The sequence below is a fragment of the Homo sapiens genome, chromosome 12 (assembly GCF_000001405.40).
Source record: "Homo sapiens chromosome 12, GRCh38.p14 Primary Assembly".
Lineage (NCBI taxonomy): Eukaryota > Metazoa > Chordata > Mammalia > Primates > Hominidae > Homo > Homo sapiens.
The window spans coordinates 9,500,850-9,519,641 of NC_000012.12; the positions used below are offsets into that span (position 1 = coordinate 9,500,850).

General features: G+C 35.9%; 2 pseudogenes across 1 annotated transcript in view; one reads left to right on the forward strand and one right to left on the reverse strand.

Annotated features, from left to right (window-relative positions):
* OVOS1P (ovostatin 1, pseudogene) overlaps positions 1–18,792 on the forward strand; it is a 127,984-nt pseudogene that overhangs the window by 52,563 nt on the left and 56,629 nt on the right. The window contains exons 10-17 of the transcript NR_153413.2: positions 2,183–2,292; positions 10,835–10,993; positions 11,907–12,137; positions 12,711–12,785; positions 16,210–16,270; positions 16,824–16,969; positions 17,313–17,462; positions 18,179–18,349. The product of NR_153413.2 is annotated as an ovostatin 1, pseudogene (transcript). The remainder of the gene's footprint in view (positions 1–2,182; positions 2,293–10,834; positions 10,994–11,906; positions 12,138–12,710; positions 12,786–16,209; positions 16,271–16,823; positions 16,970–17,312; positions 17,463–18,178; positions 18,350–18,792) is intronic.
* LOC100419520 (RAN binding protein 6 pseudogene) lies at positions 5,206–7,742 on the reverse strand (annotated as a pseudogene).

Genomic DNA, 18,792 nt, shown 5'->3' on the forward strand with positions numbered 1-18,792 from the left:
ATCACTGTCTCATTCGAATTGTTACCTGATTGCCAACTATACAATGTTAATACAATCATTTTTTCCCTGAGGGCTTTTCATTGGGTTCATCTGATTCAAATTCTGAATGTTTCATATATCAACCAAAATTTTCACACACATGTTGATGGATGGTCAAGTATTACATTCAAATAAGGCTACAATAGAAGTAAGAATGCCAATTTATTGATTTATAATGGGAGTATCTGGTTTTAGATATAAGCATATTCCTTTTCCTTAATCATTCCACAGATAGATATAATTGAGACATGTAGTTGTCGATTATAAAATTTTTTTGGTGAGCATAGAATTAGAACATGGGAAGTAAAATAGTTTGGGGAGAATATTTTACTGAGCCTCTGAAAATAAATCCAGTGAAAAATCTTTATCTCATCCAGGAAAATCTGTCTCCCTGCCTTCCTCCCTTCCTTCTTTTTCTTTTTCGGAGTTTCGCTCTTGTTGCCCAGGCTAGAGTGCGGTGGCGTAATCTTAGCTCACTGCGACCTCCGCCCGCCAGGTTCAAGCGATTCTTCCGCCTCAGCCTCCCGAGTAGCTGGGATTACAGGCGCCCGCCATCAGGCCCGACTAGGTTTTTGCATTTTTAGTAGAGAGACGGGGTTTCATCATGTTGTCCAGGCTAGTCTCAAACTCCTAACCTCAGGTGATCCTCCCGCCTCGGCCTCCCAAAGTGCGGGGATTACAGTCGTGAGCCACCTCGCCCGGCCAATAATATTTCTAATGACTAATTTCTTGTATCTCCTGGACCTAATACCCCTTCTTCCTAAAGCACAAAATGGTAAGTCTTAATCCTTGAAATGCTTTTTTCTGTGCTGACCACTTTGTGTTACTATAGTGCTTTTAAACTTATGCATATGTAACTGATATTTCAGCAAAATTTCTGTTCGTGAAATATTAAATTACTAATGTACTTATATCAGTCTTCAAAGTTTTAGAGGTATCTGTCACATCCAGAGGAAATTCAAGTATTAAACAAACATTTAATTGATAATTAGGTATATTTGTCATACTGAACTAAATAAATAATAAAAGAATAGCCAGGCACAGTGGCTCACACCTATAACCCCAGCACCTGGGGAGGCTGAGGCAGAAGAATTATTTGAGCCTAGGAGTTTGAGACCATCCTCGGTGGCAACATAGTGAGACCCCGTCTCTACAAACAATACAAAATTAGCTGGGTGTTGTGTCATGCAGCTGTAGTCCCAGCTACTCAGGAGGCTAAGGTGGGAGGATCACTTGAGCCCAGGAGATTGGGGCTGCAGTGAGCCATGATCGCACCACTGCACTCCAGCCTGGGCAACAGAATGAGACCCTATCTCAAGGAAAAAAAAAGAGAAAGAGAGAGAGAAAGAGAGAGAAAGAAAGGAAGAGAGAGAAAGAGAAAGAAAGGAAGGAAGAAAGAAAAGGAAGGAAGGAAAGGAAGGAAGGCAGGAAGGAAGGAAGGAGGGAAGGGCTTGCTACATGATAACATATGTCCATATTTATATGAGAAATAATGTAGCAATAAAAATATAAGTTTTTATAAGGTTTTACAAAAACTTTATAAAATAATGATAAAAAACATGTAAAACTACATACACATTTGCACATATTGAGTGTATGTGTGCATGTACACATATACACACACAATCTCAAACATATTAATATAAATGATAAATATAAAAAGAAATAGAACTTGTGGGAAAAAGCCTAAAATGCTAATTTTGATTCTCTTGGAGATATCTGATATTTGGTAATTTGTATTTTCTTTTTTAAGCATTTCCATTTTTAATAATACACATATATTACAATTCTTACTATTAATAAATTAAAGCATATGTTTTAGGCAAGCAGAGAGTAAAAGAAATGTTGTTAAACAATCACTTAGGAATAATGAGAAATCAACGTTTACTAATCCATCATGAAGAAATGGTAAGTGAATTGGATATTTTATAAAAAGCAGCAACACCAGTTGGCACAAGCATTTTGTGCCGTCTTGATTAACTTTCTTTATAAAAGACATCTGAAGTACCTATATATTAAAACTGCTTAGGAAAGGGAAGGGAAACTATTAGAAGGAATGGTGAGCTTTTGTGGTTTTTTTCAGAAGCTCTGTTTGTCTGTTTTTGGAAGTGACATTTTCTCAATAATACTTAATTGACTGCAGGTGTGCAGCTTACAGGCTCCAAGTACATATACATAGACTCATCAGTGGTGAAGATTAGTTTTGAGAATATGGATATGTCCTACAAACAGGGACTCCCTTATTTTGGCCAGGTAAGAAAGCAATCATTTTTTACATACCTTATTCATTCATTCATTTGTTCTTTCATTTATCTACTAATCTTCCAACAGCTATTCCCTAAGAAATTACTATGTAGGAATCTCTGTGCTAAGCACTGTAGGGTGACCTACACTGTTGATTTTCATAGATCTGTCCTGGTGTATATGTTTTATCAAGTTGTAACTGTTAATAGTTACAACCACTTCACTCTAAAAGTGTCCAAGTTTGGACAATAAATTATATAGTCTACATCAGTATTAGGAATAAAATGGTGATGTAGAGAGGCACTTTTATCACTGCTTTTATGGAGTTTATAGTGTAATAGAGATAATAAACATTAAACAGATAATTTTACAAAGAATTATTGTAGTCGTGATAGGTGCTATGTCAGTGAAATACTGACCATTTAACTACTCTACATCAGGAGCTGACAAACCACAGCCCATAGGCAAATCAGACAGAGGCCTGCCTTGATACAGCCAGTGAACTATGAGTGGTTTTAACATTTTTAAAAGATTATTTAAAAAATAACAAAATATATGAGAGAGAGACCATGGTGTTTTACGAAAGAAGTTTGCTAAAATCTGGACTAAATGATCATGGAAAGTTTCCCTGAGGAAGTAATATTTAGGTTGACACAAGAACACTAAAAAAGAAATACAAAAGTGGGTAGCCTGGCTTACATCTTACAGAGCAGTGGTTCTCAAACTGGCATCAGCATCACCTAAAGGACTTACTGAAACAAATTTCAGTAAAAGTCATTTAATGAACAAATTTAGATTGAAATACAGCTTTGGCAGATAGATAAATTTGATATATGTTCATTTCACTTACTGAATAGTGGTGAATAATGTTAATGTAATTTTTTCTAACCTTTCTCTTCACTTTGTACATTTTTGCTTTATATCTTTCCATGTTCTGTTACTAAATATATAAAACTGAGAGATATCTTCAAAGAATATAAAATTTTTTCTGAATATAAAATAATTTTATCTAGACTTGAGAATTCTCCATTTCCTCCCTCTTATGTTGTTGTTACCCAAGATGATTTCTTGGGTTCCCATTTGTCTCTTGTATCTTTTCTGTGCTATTTAAAAGTGTTTCCTGTGTAAAGAGCATTTTGTGTGAAAATGTTATATTTTAGCTTCCTTTCTGAACTTAATCTTCTGAGGTTTTTGTTATTAGTTTGTTTTATTCGATTGGCAAATATCTCCAAATTGAATATTAGAGATGATAGTGGACTTCCTGGTTGTATTTTGCATATTTTGGGGAATGCTTTTAAAAATGTAATGCATAAACCTACTAAGTAACTGTAGCATTTTGTGAGACATACTTTATGAAGTCAAAAAATTTTCCTTTTTTAGTTCACTAAGAATTTTCTATAATATGTTAGTTTCTGTATCTAGATATTTCTTATTAAATTTAGGTTTTAAAATAGAGGACATAAAAATATGTTCACTTATGATTTGAAAAAATAAATCTATCATAATTTATTTCCCCTTTTTATTACTAGTTGTGTTTGTGTTTTTTTCCCATTAGTTTTTGGATTTGTTAATTATGTTTATTTTTAATGTTATTTTAAATGATTTTCCTTTCATCATTTATTTTTATTATATTTTTTCTTCTACCTCTTTTGGTTTTTTTTTCTAGCATCTTGTTATAAATACTTATGTTAAACTTCCATGTTTTCAAATTTATACAATTTTTCCTGAATACTACTTTCCTCCTCACAGGTGTTTTTCTATACTATTTTTATTTTTTAAATTATGAAAAAATGCACATATCAAATTTACCATCTTAACAATTTTTAAGTTCAATTAAAATCATTTCTGATGATTTCATTATTTTTATTTTTATTTTTACCTAAGAATTACTTAGAGTTTTAAGTTTTCTTCTCTAGTATGTGTGATTATGGTTGTATATTTTTTTAAAAAGTAATTTTTTCTTTTGTAGTAACAGCTACAATTTATTGAGCACTTACTAGGTCTTAAATATTTGCTAAATACATATACAGTACTCACAATAGCCCCAGGAAATGATAGATGTATTTAAGTTTTGGATCAATGATTAATGATTAGCTGAGTAGAAAGCTCTTTTCTACCCTATAATAAGCTAGACATTAGAGACCGACATTCCAATTAATATAATTAACCCTGAATTTATAGAACTGTTTTCTCATAATAATGCACATCTACTGCTAAATGACTACTCTCAAAGTTGCTTTCTTTTTCATGTCCAAAGAAAATTACATTTGCTTTCCTCCGAGTTTTACAATAGAATACTCTTCAGTGCTACTATAGAATCTATTAGGAAATTCTTTGAAATATAAATCAATTTAAGCCCTATAATCAGAGCTTCTCTTCTTGTTGAACTGCTTTGCAGGGGGGAAATGGCATACATATACAAAATAATACTCTCCTGAAACACACAACACTGACTCCCAAGAATATTGATGACTTACTATTTGTCGAACACTGTTACATGCTACCAGTGTTAGATGAATCAGGAATCCCTTTTCAGTAACTATGGTTCTTGGAGTCCTGGATAACTTAAAAAAATAGAGACCAGTCTGGCTAAAGAAATTTAAAGTTCTCTAACTCTCAGCTGGACACCTTGGGAACTAGAATATGGATATGTCCCACCCAGTTCCCAGGAGAACACCATGAAAAAGTTTATATACATCCCACATCCTCTGCAGTATCTCAAAACTCTCTCCTAGTTCCAGCATCCTCCCATCACCACAAATATCAAGAGTATTAATCAAGGAGGGACAAGCCTGCCACTATATCCTTCACTCACAATTCCAAAGATGTTTGTCCTGGAAATTCTGTCTTATTTTCATGAGCTCTTAGCATATCATGATAGCATGACATCTTCACATCAAGTATACTGCTTGGCTAGCATTGATAATAGTTCAAACAAATAGCAACAATTTATATACTTCACATCAACTAGGGGAAAGGTGACAAATATTGTAAGACAGCTTGAAGCACAGGTTATCACCAAGGTTTGTGTTTGGGAGATAAAACATACAAGATAAACAGAGGACTAACATTGACTAATTCTGGAGAAACATAGGAAGAACTATAAACAGCTTAGCAGAGAGAAAACAGTTCACTGATTTTTAATAAAATCCATTCACAACACTTATTTGTAGTTACTTTTATGGTAGATAATATTCAAGTTATATTAAAGTGCTTCAAGCAAAATTTAGCAACTCCTGTAAGGCTTCCTGCTGTTCATCATCAAGTTGAGATACACATTCCAACCATAAATCTTCAGGAGTCTGTACTTGAGGCACGACATCTTCTAGGCGTTTGGCACAGGGATCTTCATAGTTAATAGTCCCATTAATTTTTTCTTCTGCAATTATTCTGATTATTTTGGGAAAATTGGAATTATTTGGACCAATTACAACTGGGTGGTTACTTTCAGTTAGGTCACAGAGAAAACTCAAAGTCTGAATAGCTTCCTCTTTATCTTCATGCAGTGGAAGCCATGATAGCCAGTATGAAAGAACTTCATCTACATTTACACAGTTAGGCTTAAACTTCAAAATCTTCCCTAGTGCTGAGATACAGTTCTCTGTAGCAATGACATTTTTTTTTTGTTTTGGAATTTGCACACTTAATAACTTTTACCACAGTGGGACAGCTTCTGAACATAAAGAATGATAATCATCTCCACTAAGCTGTGCCATGACACCCAGGCCATAAGCAGCAGCTTGCCTGACTTCAGGGTTGTTATCTCACACATTTAGTAGCATTGGCCACCAAAAATAGTCTACATATTTAAATGAAGTTGGACTACATATTTAAATGAAGTTGGATTGCAGTGCTCTGCGATGTCATCAAATATGCACAGTCCCCACTGTCTGCCTAGCCATGGCCTACTTGAACAAATTAGATTTACAATTAATGGAAGTAGTTGTTCAAATCATGGTAAAATCTTTTCCTTATAAGTACTAAATAATGTGTGCAAAATATCTGATACTTTGGTCAGAATATAAACATCACATTCATCCTCATCTTGCAGAGACATCTCAACCTTTTGATCATAGTTTTCTTCCTGACTTTTAACCTGTCACAATTCTTCGTTTTTAAAGTGCCCTTCAAGTTTTGCTCTCAGTGTCCCTCCCAGTTCTTCCAAGTATTCATCATTAAGGCAATCATCTCCCATAACTTCAGTGAACTTTGCAAAAGAATTCATTATTTCTGAGAGCACATCTGTATCTGGTTCAGTACCAATAGCCTTGATTAAGGGGTTACGTATGAATTGCCACATCTGTGCAAGATACTCTGGGCCACAAATTCTTGCACATTCCAGGAGAAAAGGCATGGACTCTGCTGCTGCCACTCGAACATTGTCTTGGAAATAAAATTTCAGTAAAGGAACCATCAGCTTCACAACTTGTTCTGTATAGTTCACAAACCCTTCCCTTAACTCCTTAGCATAGTAAACCAACATCTGGCAAGCAGTTACTTTTGCTTCAAGTCCTGAAGTTTTAATTCCAAAACGCTGTTGGTCTCCAAGATTTACATGTTGCCAGCCATCATCATCATTCATATTCTCCACATCCTGTGTGTCTAAGAGAGCAGCATGAGGTTTAGCTGAAGCAGTCTTAATAAGAGGCTCGATAACCAGGGAAAGCTACTGTTGAAAATCTTTTCCAAGAATTTTACACTTTCTAGCCCATGCTGAAACCATGTAAGAGGTCTGGGGGTCATTATCTTCCGTATTATTTAAGTCTGATTGTGTCTTCAACAAGAGCTGCATCACATTTGATGCATCTTACATAAATTTTTTCTTCCCAACAGCAAGACCAATATGGCTAATGCACGCAATAATTTTTCCTCTCAGAAGCTTGAGTTCCTTCTGAACAGCAAGCTCAATGATGTGCTTTAGTGAGGGCATGAATATATCATAATATGGGACAAATTTTTCTTCTATTGTATCTGCAACCGATGCAATGGTTGCCACAAGTTATTCCAGGGCCAACTTAGTTCCATTCCGAATCAACTCTTCAAGCTTAATCACCAAGACAGAATGTAGATTTTTCACCATACTATCCAAATATAGAACTAGGAATGATTTGGGGCAGTCTTCAATAAAAACAGTAAGAGCAGAAGCTGCATGTGATTGCACACGCTGATTACCTTGATTTTGCATGGTACGTAACAGAGCTGGAATCACTGTTTCATGAAATGTCTTTTGGAAATTGGGTGCAAAATCTGTAGCCATCTGTCCAAGTGTAGTACAGGCTGGAGCCCTTACCCTTAGATGAGGATCCTGGGATATTTTCACAGATTTCCTCTGCTTGCCTCCGCACCATACAGCTTGGATTGATCAGGTTCTTCAGAAGCTGATAAAACTCTTTGCTTTTCTGACAAGTTCGCCAGCACCCCTGTGGACGTGGTCACCGCCATTATGCTCTGTCAAAGCTACCATGACTGGGAAGGAAAATAAGTAATTTTTAAATTGCGGACAACACATATATTAACAAGAAAAATAACACTGTAAATTAAAGTATGAAGAACAATGAGCACCTCTCCCCTCTAATCCGTTCATTTCGTGAATACTTCCCCAGAAGCAACTACTTTCAGTCCACTGTGTTTCCTATAAACCAGTAGTGAGGTTCAGAAGCTTGATCAGATTCAAGTTCATTTTTGGTGGGTGCAGTAGGCAAGAATATAATGTAGGTAGTGTCATGTACTTTTCACAGAGAGCACTCTTCCTCTCTTACTGAGATGTTAGCAGACATTGACAATAATTACTTAGATGCATTGTTTCTCTAAACCATTCTTTCTTAGCCTTGGCACAACTGAAATTTTGGGCCAGATGATACTTTGCTGTGGGGGCTACCCTGTGCATGGTAAGAGTTTAGCAACATCCCAGGTCTCTACCTGGGATGTAGCACCATCCCCTTCCTATTTGTGATAGCCCAAAGTGTTTGCAGACATTGCCAAATGGCAAAATTTATTGGCTAATAAGTTAAAAAGTGATAAATTAGAATTTTGCCACTCTTAGAATAGTGATTCTCAATGAAGGGTGATTTGAGATATTTTTAAAAAGATTACCTAAATCCTATTATCCCCTCTAAAAAATTAGCAATAATCCACTGAAATCTGCCAGTCAATCATGCTCCAGATTAACTCAGGGGTTTTATTTCTGTCTTCTCTAGCATAAGACATGGTTGAGAGGGGTGTGTGTGTGTGTGTTGTGTGTGTGTGTGTGTGTGTGTGTGTATGTGTATGTGTATGTGTATGTGTGTACTTAAGCCCTAGCCTAGTCATTAAGGCCCAGCTCCTTCCCATTCCCTCTCAAAGCTTCTTGACACTTTAAGGTATAGTATTATCTTATCCTATAATCAGGAACTCCAAGACACCTTTTCCTATAGAGGAGAGCTGGGAAAACTAGCTGAGGTTGGTAATAGTTTATCAGGGAGGTAGGGGATAGGTGGTACCTACATGAATCAGGCATCCGTGGACAAAGTAGTCTGTTATTAATATATTGTAATACAGTACAGTTTCCTGCCTGGACACACCCTCTTCATTAGCATTTGAAAGAATTAGTTCCTGAAAACTCATATATAAGAGCTCTTATTTCCTTGATCATTTTAGGGAGACCAGTGGCAGCTATAAACAGATGTGAGTCTCAAACAATAAAATGCTTTAGTTCAAAAACATGGTTGTATAAAGTGGTATCTTTTGGGTTTTTGGCCATTTCACAGTGGTGAATGCTCTGATCACTTCCGGGAGATGTGCCAGGAGAAACAAGTCATTCCTGTTCTACTTTTGGAAAAGGGACTGGTTTCTCTGTGATATAGTGAGTCACTACAGTAGCTGCATTACTGGAAATTAAAAATGGTTTATCTGGCCATGTGTTGTGTCATAAGGCCATCAAACACGTGGCTCAGTATTGCTAGGGAGCACTTTTAAAGAGTAAGCTTTATTTCCAGAATGAAGATACTATCTGCTTTTTTAGTGTCCCCTACAAATTTCAAGACCTCAGAGCTATGACTCCAAGAGTAACATATGTGAACATAGGAAGCTGGGCAAGGCGGTGGGCTAACAAGGGTATTTCTTCATAAGTGACAGTAGCAGCATCCGTGGATGGCTGAAATGATACTGTTTAAAATTGTAGGATATACGACAAATACCTTTGCCACAAGAAACATCTGCTAATGAAGTGTTGCATGCCTGGCCCCGGCAGTTGATAATGGGCCTGGTGTCATCACTTGGGGCACTATTTGGGTTTGGGGACAAAGAAAGAAAGGAAAGTGCCCAGAAATCACATGGCTTGTTCATCTTTCTGTGACTGGAAGGGACTCAAAGGATCTTTCTAGTCTAGGTGTACTAAAATTAGAGCAAACCTCTGTGTGATCATAAAGGCATGGTGTCATGTGTCTGTGGCCTGTGGACTGCTGAGACAAGTTGAATTTTTCTTACAAGATCAAGCCTTGAGATGAAACTAAGTTCAAAATCTGCGTAGATGGTGCAAATAAGGCATCAGTCTACAGATGCTGAGCAAGAAAAAAGGATTGTGTTTGCCTGGACCAGCAGGAAAATGATAAGTGGCAGAAATAAGATGAAAGGCTCAAAGCAGAAGTTGTTTTGCAGAAACTGACTGAGCTAAAAAAAGGATGTCTCAGACAGTCTTCTTCTGGTTGTTGTGGCCTTAGATGTTGTTAAGAAGGTGCCTTTAAAGGCTTCAAACTGGCATAGATACTGATGCAGGCATTGTATCTACTGCAAATCATACAATTTCAGAAGGGACTTTTTAAAGCAATCATTGCCTGTACTAGTAAGAGAATGAGAAAGAGATTTCTAGCAAATAACCATGGCCTATCAGAGCAGTCACTACAATGTTTTAGGGAGGATAATGCTAAATTTTGCATTTTAGAAAATTTGCTTTGATGCCAGTATAGAGAAAGAACAAGCAAAAGCAATACAGGAGAGAGAGACTGGATAGAAAAAAATAGAAGATGTATGAGGGAAAAAAGATAAGCTATTGATACAAGGAATAGCAACAGGAACAAATGTGATAAGCTGGAAACAGAAAATGTTAAAAAGATACAATTGAAAATATTTTATCAACAATTGAAAATTATAGGAGAAGGAAAATAAAAAGTCTAAGATGTCTCTAGATATTTGACTTCAGTGACTAAGTGAATGGTTGAGGTATTCACTGAGATAAATAAGAGAAAGAGAAAAAAAAGGAAGGTTGGGCACAGTAATAAATCATTCCAATTTGAGGGTTTCTGTAGCATTTTTATTATAAAAAATACTCAGGATGATTAATTCTATGGGCCTGAGTTTTCAGAGATCTTCGTGGGCAGGAGAAACAGAGTTTAGGCTCATTAGTATATTAATGGTACATGTCATACACTCAACAGGAATAGATGAAACCACGCAGGAAGTGCATACGTACGAAGGAGAGCGGGGGTCCCCATGATAGAAGCTTGGCAAATGCCATCAAAATGGATTCCCAAATTTACTACATGCTTCCGAAATGTATTTTCTTCCTCTTGTACAGATTAAATTGCTTGATCCAGACAACTCTCCAATCCCAAATGAAGTTGTCCAGTTGCATCTGAAGGACAAAATCGTGGGAAACTACACCACAGATGTAAATGGCATCGCTCAGTTTTTCTTGGACACATATACGTTTACATACCCAAATATCACTTTGAAAGTAAGTTAAACGAAAGGCAAGTAAAATAAAAACAAACAAGCAAACAAAAAACTGCACTGGCTCGCTAAGGTTTAGGTCTGTGCGAAATTATATTTATGGAACAGAAATGAAAAGTTACACCTTGGTGTGAATCTAGAGTACTGAAAAATAGTTAAATATTAAGAATATAGGCCCTATGAAAAGTAGGTTAAAAATTATTTTAAGAGTCCCGGGAAAAGACAGAAGGATAGCATACATACTAAATTGTATAAAGGAGAATTAGCTGAAAATAAGCAACGCTTCACTTTTATTAAGGAAATAGAAAGAGAATTGTGTTTTTATAGAAGGAAATATTTGAGAAACCCTGTAATCTATTACCTTGGAATAATGTAAAGAATTTCTCTGGATATATTCAAGAGAGAAGTGAACTACTATCTGTAATAATTAAATATCAATCCTTCCTAGATATTTTTAAAGGACTCCTCAGACTTTTTGTGTTGATAATGGTAAATTACTATGGTCAGAGTAAACTCCTTGCTGTATTTCATAAAAACTTTCCCATCTTTCAGCAAAACTTCATATTATGTTATCAGTAGCAAGGTAAACGTTTGCACTCATGGGTTCTTCGTATTATAGTGAGGGAGATATAGCAATCTACATGCTAGCAAAAGTAATAATTATAGTAAAGAATACAGTAAAATATTTAATGTAATATTATTGAAGTAGGACTTGAATAGACTAAATTGTAAAAACCATAGTGGTCGCTCTAGAGTATAACTAGAAAATGGGGAATTGGGTTAGATTTAATGTAGAATGGCTATAAAATCTTCTTGCAGAGATAAAGCAGCATGATGATAAACCATCTTATCAAATATTCTTTCACTCATCCTTTCTCTTTATCCTAAAATACCCGTAATTTTGATTTTTTGTCTAGGCAGCCTACAAGGCCAATGAAAATTGCCAGGCTCATGGCTGGGTGTTGCCTCAATACCCTCAGCCCGAGTACTTTGCATATCGATTTTACTCCAAGACGAATAGCTTCCTAAAGATTGTCCAAGAGATGGAAGAACTGAGATGCAACCAGCAGAAGAGGGTGCTAGTGCACTGCATTCTCAATATGGAAGACTTTGAAGACAAAACCTACACAGCAGACTTCAATTATTTGGTATGAGCTGAAAACATTCTTCCACAACCAAAATTGTTTCTTTTCTTTAAAACTTCTTTGAACCTAATGAAATCCCTGTACCTATATGCCACGAGGAAGCTCAAAGTTAACATAAATGATAAAACTTATATAACTGGTATCTATTTTTAAGAAAGGAGGGAAAAGGCCATGCCACCACAACCCATATGCACTCTGTCATTCTCAGACCCTTTCTTCAGAGTTACCCATTTCTATTTGGACATTGCTGGGATCAAACCAGAGTTCTGATATGTACTAGCTTTGTGTTACTTTTTGAAAGCCACTTAAACCCTAGAGAATCTTAGTTTTTTGTAATATATTGTCTAATCATCAAGATAATTATTTAATAATACATATAAAGCCCTTTGCCCAACTTCTGGCACACAGAAGATATTAAGTATTAGTTTGATTTTAATATATTGCTATTATGGATTATTTTACACTGTCTAAATAGATGCATGATACTTCATTGAGATTTATGAAGATGATATAAAATTAATGAAACATGAATTAATTCAATCAGCCAACACTTATTGAATGTTTTTCATATTCCAGGTGCTGTATTAGCAATTGTCACAATAGAAGAAATAGAAAAAGTATAACTGGGGACAAAACATATATTAGAATTACGTAAGTGTTACAAATGAAACATGTATGGCCACTGAGGTGTTACAGAAAAATGAATGATTAACTTTAGCTAGAGTTTAGGACAGTGATTATCAGAGTATATTTCCTAGAGTAGCAGTATCAGCATCACCTGGGAATAATTTAGAAATTCTGGGAATAAGTGGCCAGGTGCAGTGGCTCACGCCTGTAATCCCAGCACTTTGGGGGGCCGAGATGGGCGGGTCACAAGGTCAGGAGATCCAGACCATCCTGGCTAACACGGTGAAACCGCGTCTCCACTAAAAATACAAAAAGAAATCAGCCTGGCATGGTGGCGGGCGCCTGTAGTCCCAGCTACTCAGGAGGCTGAGGCAGGAGAATGGCATGAATCCAGGAGGCGGAGCTTGCAGTGAGCGGAGATGGTGCCACTGCACTCTAACCTGGGTGACAGAGCAAGACTCTGTCTCAAAAAAAAAAAAAAAAAAATTCTAGGAATAAGTTAGAAATCTTGTCCTCCGAAGCACATTAAAATTTGACAACCACTAGTTTAGGAAAAAGATATATGCGTATATATTTACATTTATATGTATATACATATTTTTAAGGAAAAAATACATAAAGAGAATATGCCTAAATAGGGTTTTGTGGGATGAATAGGAGTTTTCTGGATGATTAGAGGATATGAGAAACACATTTAAGCTTATTTTAGGAAATAATATAAGAGGTCAAAGATGTCTGAAGTGTATTATTCTGAGAACTAAAGGTGTTTGAGTCTATCTATGCGAAGAATGAAAGTAGTACCACATGATTTCTCACATTTTGCAAACTTAGAATTCTGGAATAGTCTTTTGATACTTCTTTTTTTCATGCTATTTACTGCGTCACCAATTTCTATCACTTTTTCATTATATTATCTCTTGCATTTTTTCTTTCCTTCATCATTTCCATAAACATTAAAATATTTCAAACCAGCAAGGTATGGACACCAAACCATCAGAAAAGGTATGAGTCATAATTCCACTGAAGCCCTTAGCTAAGCCAAGCATGGCTCATTTAGACTGGGGGCAAAGTGGTGGGAGTGGGAGGAGCTGGTTGTGGAGGAGAGGTTCTAGGGCAGCAGGGAGGGGACTCTGGGGAGCTCAGGGAAGTGGCTCTTTGCCAACCGGTACAGAAATCCTTCAACATGTCAACAATAATACTGCCGTACTGGGGTGTGAGAAATACCAAGCATCCTTGAGTGAGAAGCTGAACCTCTTTTTTTTTTTTTTTTTTTGAGACAGAGCCTCGCTCAGTCGCCCAGGCTGGAGTGCAGGGGCTCGATCTCCGCTCACTGAAAGCTCTGCGTCCTGGGTTCACGGCATTCTCCTGCCTCGGCCTCCCGAGTAGCTGGGACTACAGGCGCCCGCCACCACGCCCGGCTAATTTTTTTGTATTTTTTTAGTACAGACGGGGTTTCACCGTGTTAGCCAGGATGGTCGCGATCTCCTGACCTCGTGATCTGCCCACCTCGGCCTCCCAAAGTACTGGGATTACAGGGAAGCTGAACCTCTTAACTAGTTTTTATAAAGACACTCCCACATGCTCCTGACTTTTGCCTTCTTTTCTGGCCACACCTCTGCTCGACTTAATACCCAGTACTTCCCAATCCAGAGCTGAGCCATTTTGCAGGTCTGTGGTGTGAATTGATTTACTTGTCATCAGCTTCCCTCTTGAAATAGCTTAGGTTTGCCCCCCTCTGATCTGATAAGGCCTTTACAATTACTTTACCTCATTTCCATTTTAAATGAGTCTGCTAATAGCCTTTTTCTTCCTCTCTCCCTACTTCCTTCCTCCCTCCTTTTCTTCTTTCTTTCTTTATTCTGGAAATCTAGAGTGATTTTTTTAAAAAGCAATTAGGATTATTTATTTCAGTCCCCTAATTGAAATACAGTTAATGACTGCCTATTTCTATTAAAACAAATACCAGACTCCTTTCTTTTGCCTGCAACTCTGTATCTGCTCTGCACCTGTGAAGCTCGCCCGCTTCATTTTGCATCATTCTACACTTCAGCCTTCTTCATTGCAGACACAGAGGGCTTTCATTTTCTTGGACAAGCCATGTGCTTTTCTGGCTCCGAAGCCTCCCACAGGTTTTCCCTTCTGCCCATAATAATCTTCGTTCCCATTTGCTACCGCGGTTCCCAACCTGCCTGCACCTGATTTTCCAAGCTGATTCCTCCTCAGCGTTCATCTCTTGGCTTAAATGAAACTTTCTAATCTCCTAGACAATTCCAGTCTTCTACATATTCTTTCATAATAGGCTGGGTGGACTTTAATTCTGCCTAGCAGGGTACACATCACAGAGAGAACCCTCAATATCATATTTTAGAATGAATGGATAGAGCCTGAATTAATTTGATTCTCAGGCTTTCAGTAAGTAATTTGATACTCAGTCTTTTAAGCTTTTTTCTTAATTGTGTGACCTGACAAATATCAGTACCTCTGTGTGTCTCTTCAGTTTACTCATCTGTTACGAGAGCTGGCTTTCTGTTTTGAGAAGTCAGTGAGCTAATATAGCCAACAGTGCTGAGACCTCTCAGGCTCATTAAACTTTGAGCTTTATGCCTTTTTGCAAATGTTCTAGTTCCCAAAACAATATTTTCCAGCTAGTTGAGGCTCAGTTCTTTTTTTATGAACTAATAACCCAAACTTGGCACTTCAGAGATTTAAAGCAATTTTAATATTCAGTGAAATATTAAACGGACTAGGAGTACCAGCTCCTGCAATTTCAAGCTGCAAGATCTTATGGAAGCTTTAAATTTTCTGCAAGTCTCAGCATCTTTTAAAATAATATTCTAAAACTGTAATTTAAAAATTCAAGGAGTTTGTACTAGATTTCAAGTCTCCAGCCTTTGTTTGCACTTTAGAGATCATAACAAAAGTCTGCTGATGCAAATTTGCACACAGTTGCTGATAAAGGTGAAGTGAGAGAAGCTTTTTTCTGGAGCACCCCCAGCTTGCTACTTTATTCTCTTTTCTTTAAATTTTGGGTGGAGATGGATGAACAGGCCTTGCTTATACCTTGCATATCAAACACACCTTTCAGAAAACCAGACAAGCACTGGGAGACTCTTAATGCCTTTGTGTAACTTTGTTTCACTGAACTAAATAAATTTAGATGTAATTTAGCATTTGCAAATATGAATAAAAAGTTGTTTATTGGTCTTAGAAAACTGTTTTGGAATGTGGAACATTAAATTGCTTTATAGCAAGTTTATCTGTGACTCCTAAATTCTCTTGAATATAGCTATTAGAGTCATATGCTTGTTTACTGGTAACCTGAGTTTACTAGTAAACATGTCAATAGTATTGCTCAGACAAGAAAAGGAGGTAAATCACATTCGTTTATAATTAAATGAAATTTAGTTTCTATCCTCTAAACTTTATGATTATATTTTCATTTTCCTAGGTGATTTCAAAAGGTGTAATCATTCTTCATGGGCAACAGAAAATTGAGATCAACGAAAATGGTGAGGCCTCTAATTTTAGCATATAATTTAATACAAATAGAATGCTTTAATTGGGATATATTTTACATTTTTCTTTAAAAGTCACAATCCTCCCATTTTAGGACTGTTTACTGCCCCCTAAACTACCCTTGGGGAACATGTAAAGACATGTGAATAGGCACAATGCCAAATGAAAAAATAATTACTTAATTAATAGTGCATTAATTATATTCCAAACACTACTATAATGGGAAAGGGCCATTGTCCTTCCCTTTCTTTTCCAAGAAAGACAGGTAAGTATTTTTACATTCAAACAAGAAGGGATTTTTAAAAAGAAACAAAAGTAGACTGAAGTTTGACGTAATAAGAAATGTTCAACTATTTCTTTCTTTTATAATTTATGGAATAGGTTATGAACTCCTCCTAGAAATGCCTTATAAATTAAATTTGGTGGGTTGGGGCAGTCTCTTTGGCAGTGGGTAGGATGGCTAGAAACTCAGTGGAGGGTTTCTGCAAGATGACAGTCAGCTATCTCACCAAAGCACTTTTTCGGTTTGAAATTTTCTTTTCACAGGGAGGAAGGGCATATTTTCCATTTCTATAGACATTAACCCTGAATTAGCGCCCTCAGTAGATATGCTTGTCTATAGCTTGCATCCTGGAGGAGAAATGGTCACTGATAGCACCCAATTCCGAATTGAGAAATGCTTCGAAAATCAGGTAGGTGCCAAAAATGATTCTTTTTTAATTTGGGGGAAAACTAAGGAGAACTTAAGAGACTGTTGGGTTTAAACTCCCAATTTTTCATAGAATTGCAAAATGAAAAATAAAAGAAAGCTATGGAGAAGTTAATATGTTGGATGATTGAAGAGTAGCAGGATTATAGCATTCACTTTGGATGTTGTTCCAAATCCGGTTGTTCCTAATAATAATATTATTAGGTGGGTAAAGCACAGAAAGCCCTTTTAACTTATGTGTGTTTTTAAAAAAGTTAAGAATAGTCTAAAAGATGATTCTTCTCATATGGCTTGCCGTCCTTTTGCCCTTTTATTTTCATTTTCAGGTCAACTTAAATTTTTCTAAAGAAAAAAGTTTACCAGGATCCAATATTGATCTTCAAGTCTCGGCTGCTTCAAACTCTCTTTGTGCTCTTTGGGCTGTAGACCAGAGTGTATTGCTACTAAGGAATTATGGTCAGCTGTCAGCACAAACTGTGAGTGATTAAAACCATCTTTGTTTACCACCAACAGTATAGTTTTATGTCTTTACCTTTGGATAAAAACAGGATACCTTAAATAAACTAGAGGAGAAAGAAATTGTCCAGAGTTCTAGGCATAAAAAATATTTTAGGTTAGAAATCATGTAAAATGACTCTACTCCAATTATACTGATTCTCTTATGGAAAAAATGACCAACACTTTTAAAAATAAATAACAATTGCTAAAGGTCTACTATTTGACACTTGCTCTACTGAGTATTCCCGTATCTATTATTTAATTTTATTCTCATATTAATAAACCCTATAGAACTAATGCAGTATTCCCATTTTGATTAATGTCTAATCTTAGGCTCAGGGAGATTTAGTAAATTAACCGAGAACATTCTCTAACAATGTCCTTGAATGAGTCCTCAAAGAGTATTGAGCAGTGCCTTTATCTGGAATGTATTAAAATCCAGTTGAGCCTCATGGACTTTTTGTTAGTTTTAATGTGATTTAGCCAGCAATTATTTAACTGATTAAATAGTATTTCAAAGTTTTTACAGATCTAAGATCCTATACTTTCTCAATATGTGTTTATTTGGTATAGGTATGATGACAGTTCTACATAGGATATTCATAGGATTATATAGGTTATTTATATACTGCTTGTGGGGAAAAATGAATTGTTTTCTATGAAAAAATACAGTTGACTCTCTTCTACCATCTAGGTGTATAGTCAGCTATATTCCAGGGAACTACATGGCTATTACTTCAGAGGACTTAACTTAGAAGATGGCCTTAAAGTGCCGTGTCTTGAAGATGAACATATCCTTTACAATGGAATTTATTACACACCTGCATGGGCTGACTTTGGAAAAGATGGCTATGACCTTGTGAAGGTAAGGCAACTAAGTCTTAAAATGGTGAATATATGTGACAATATATAAATAAATAGAAATATTCATGCTGTGGGTTTTTAATCTCAGAATTCTTAGAGTACAAATTTACAATTAGTACTAATGTCTGAGAAATAATATCTCAAATAATGTTGTAATAGCAAAAAGACTTAATAAAGTTCTTATTATATTATAGTTATAATTATATAATAGTTATAATATTATAAAGCTATAATAGTTATTCTATATAGTTATAATAAATTATAAAGTTATAATATATTTTTTAAAGTTGTATTAATATAATTTTATTTAAAAGTTATAAAGTTATAAAGTTATAAGGTTATTATAATGTTATAATAAGGTTAAGTTATAAGGTTATTAGAACTTCATTATAAAACTATAATAATATTTTAAATAACTAATAATATTATAATATTAGGAAAAGA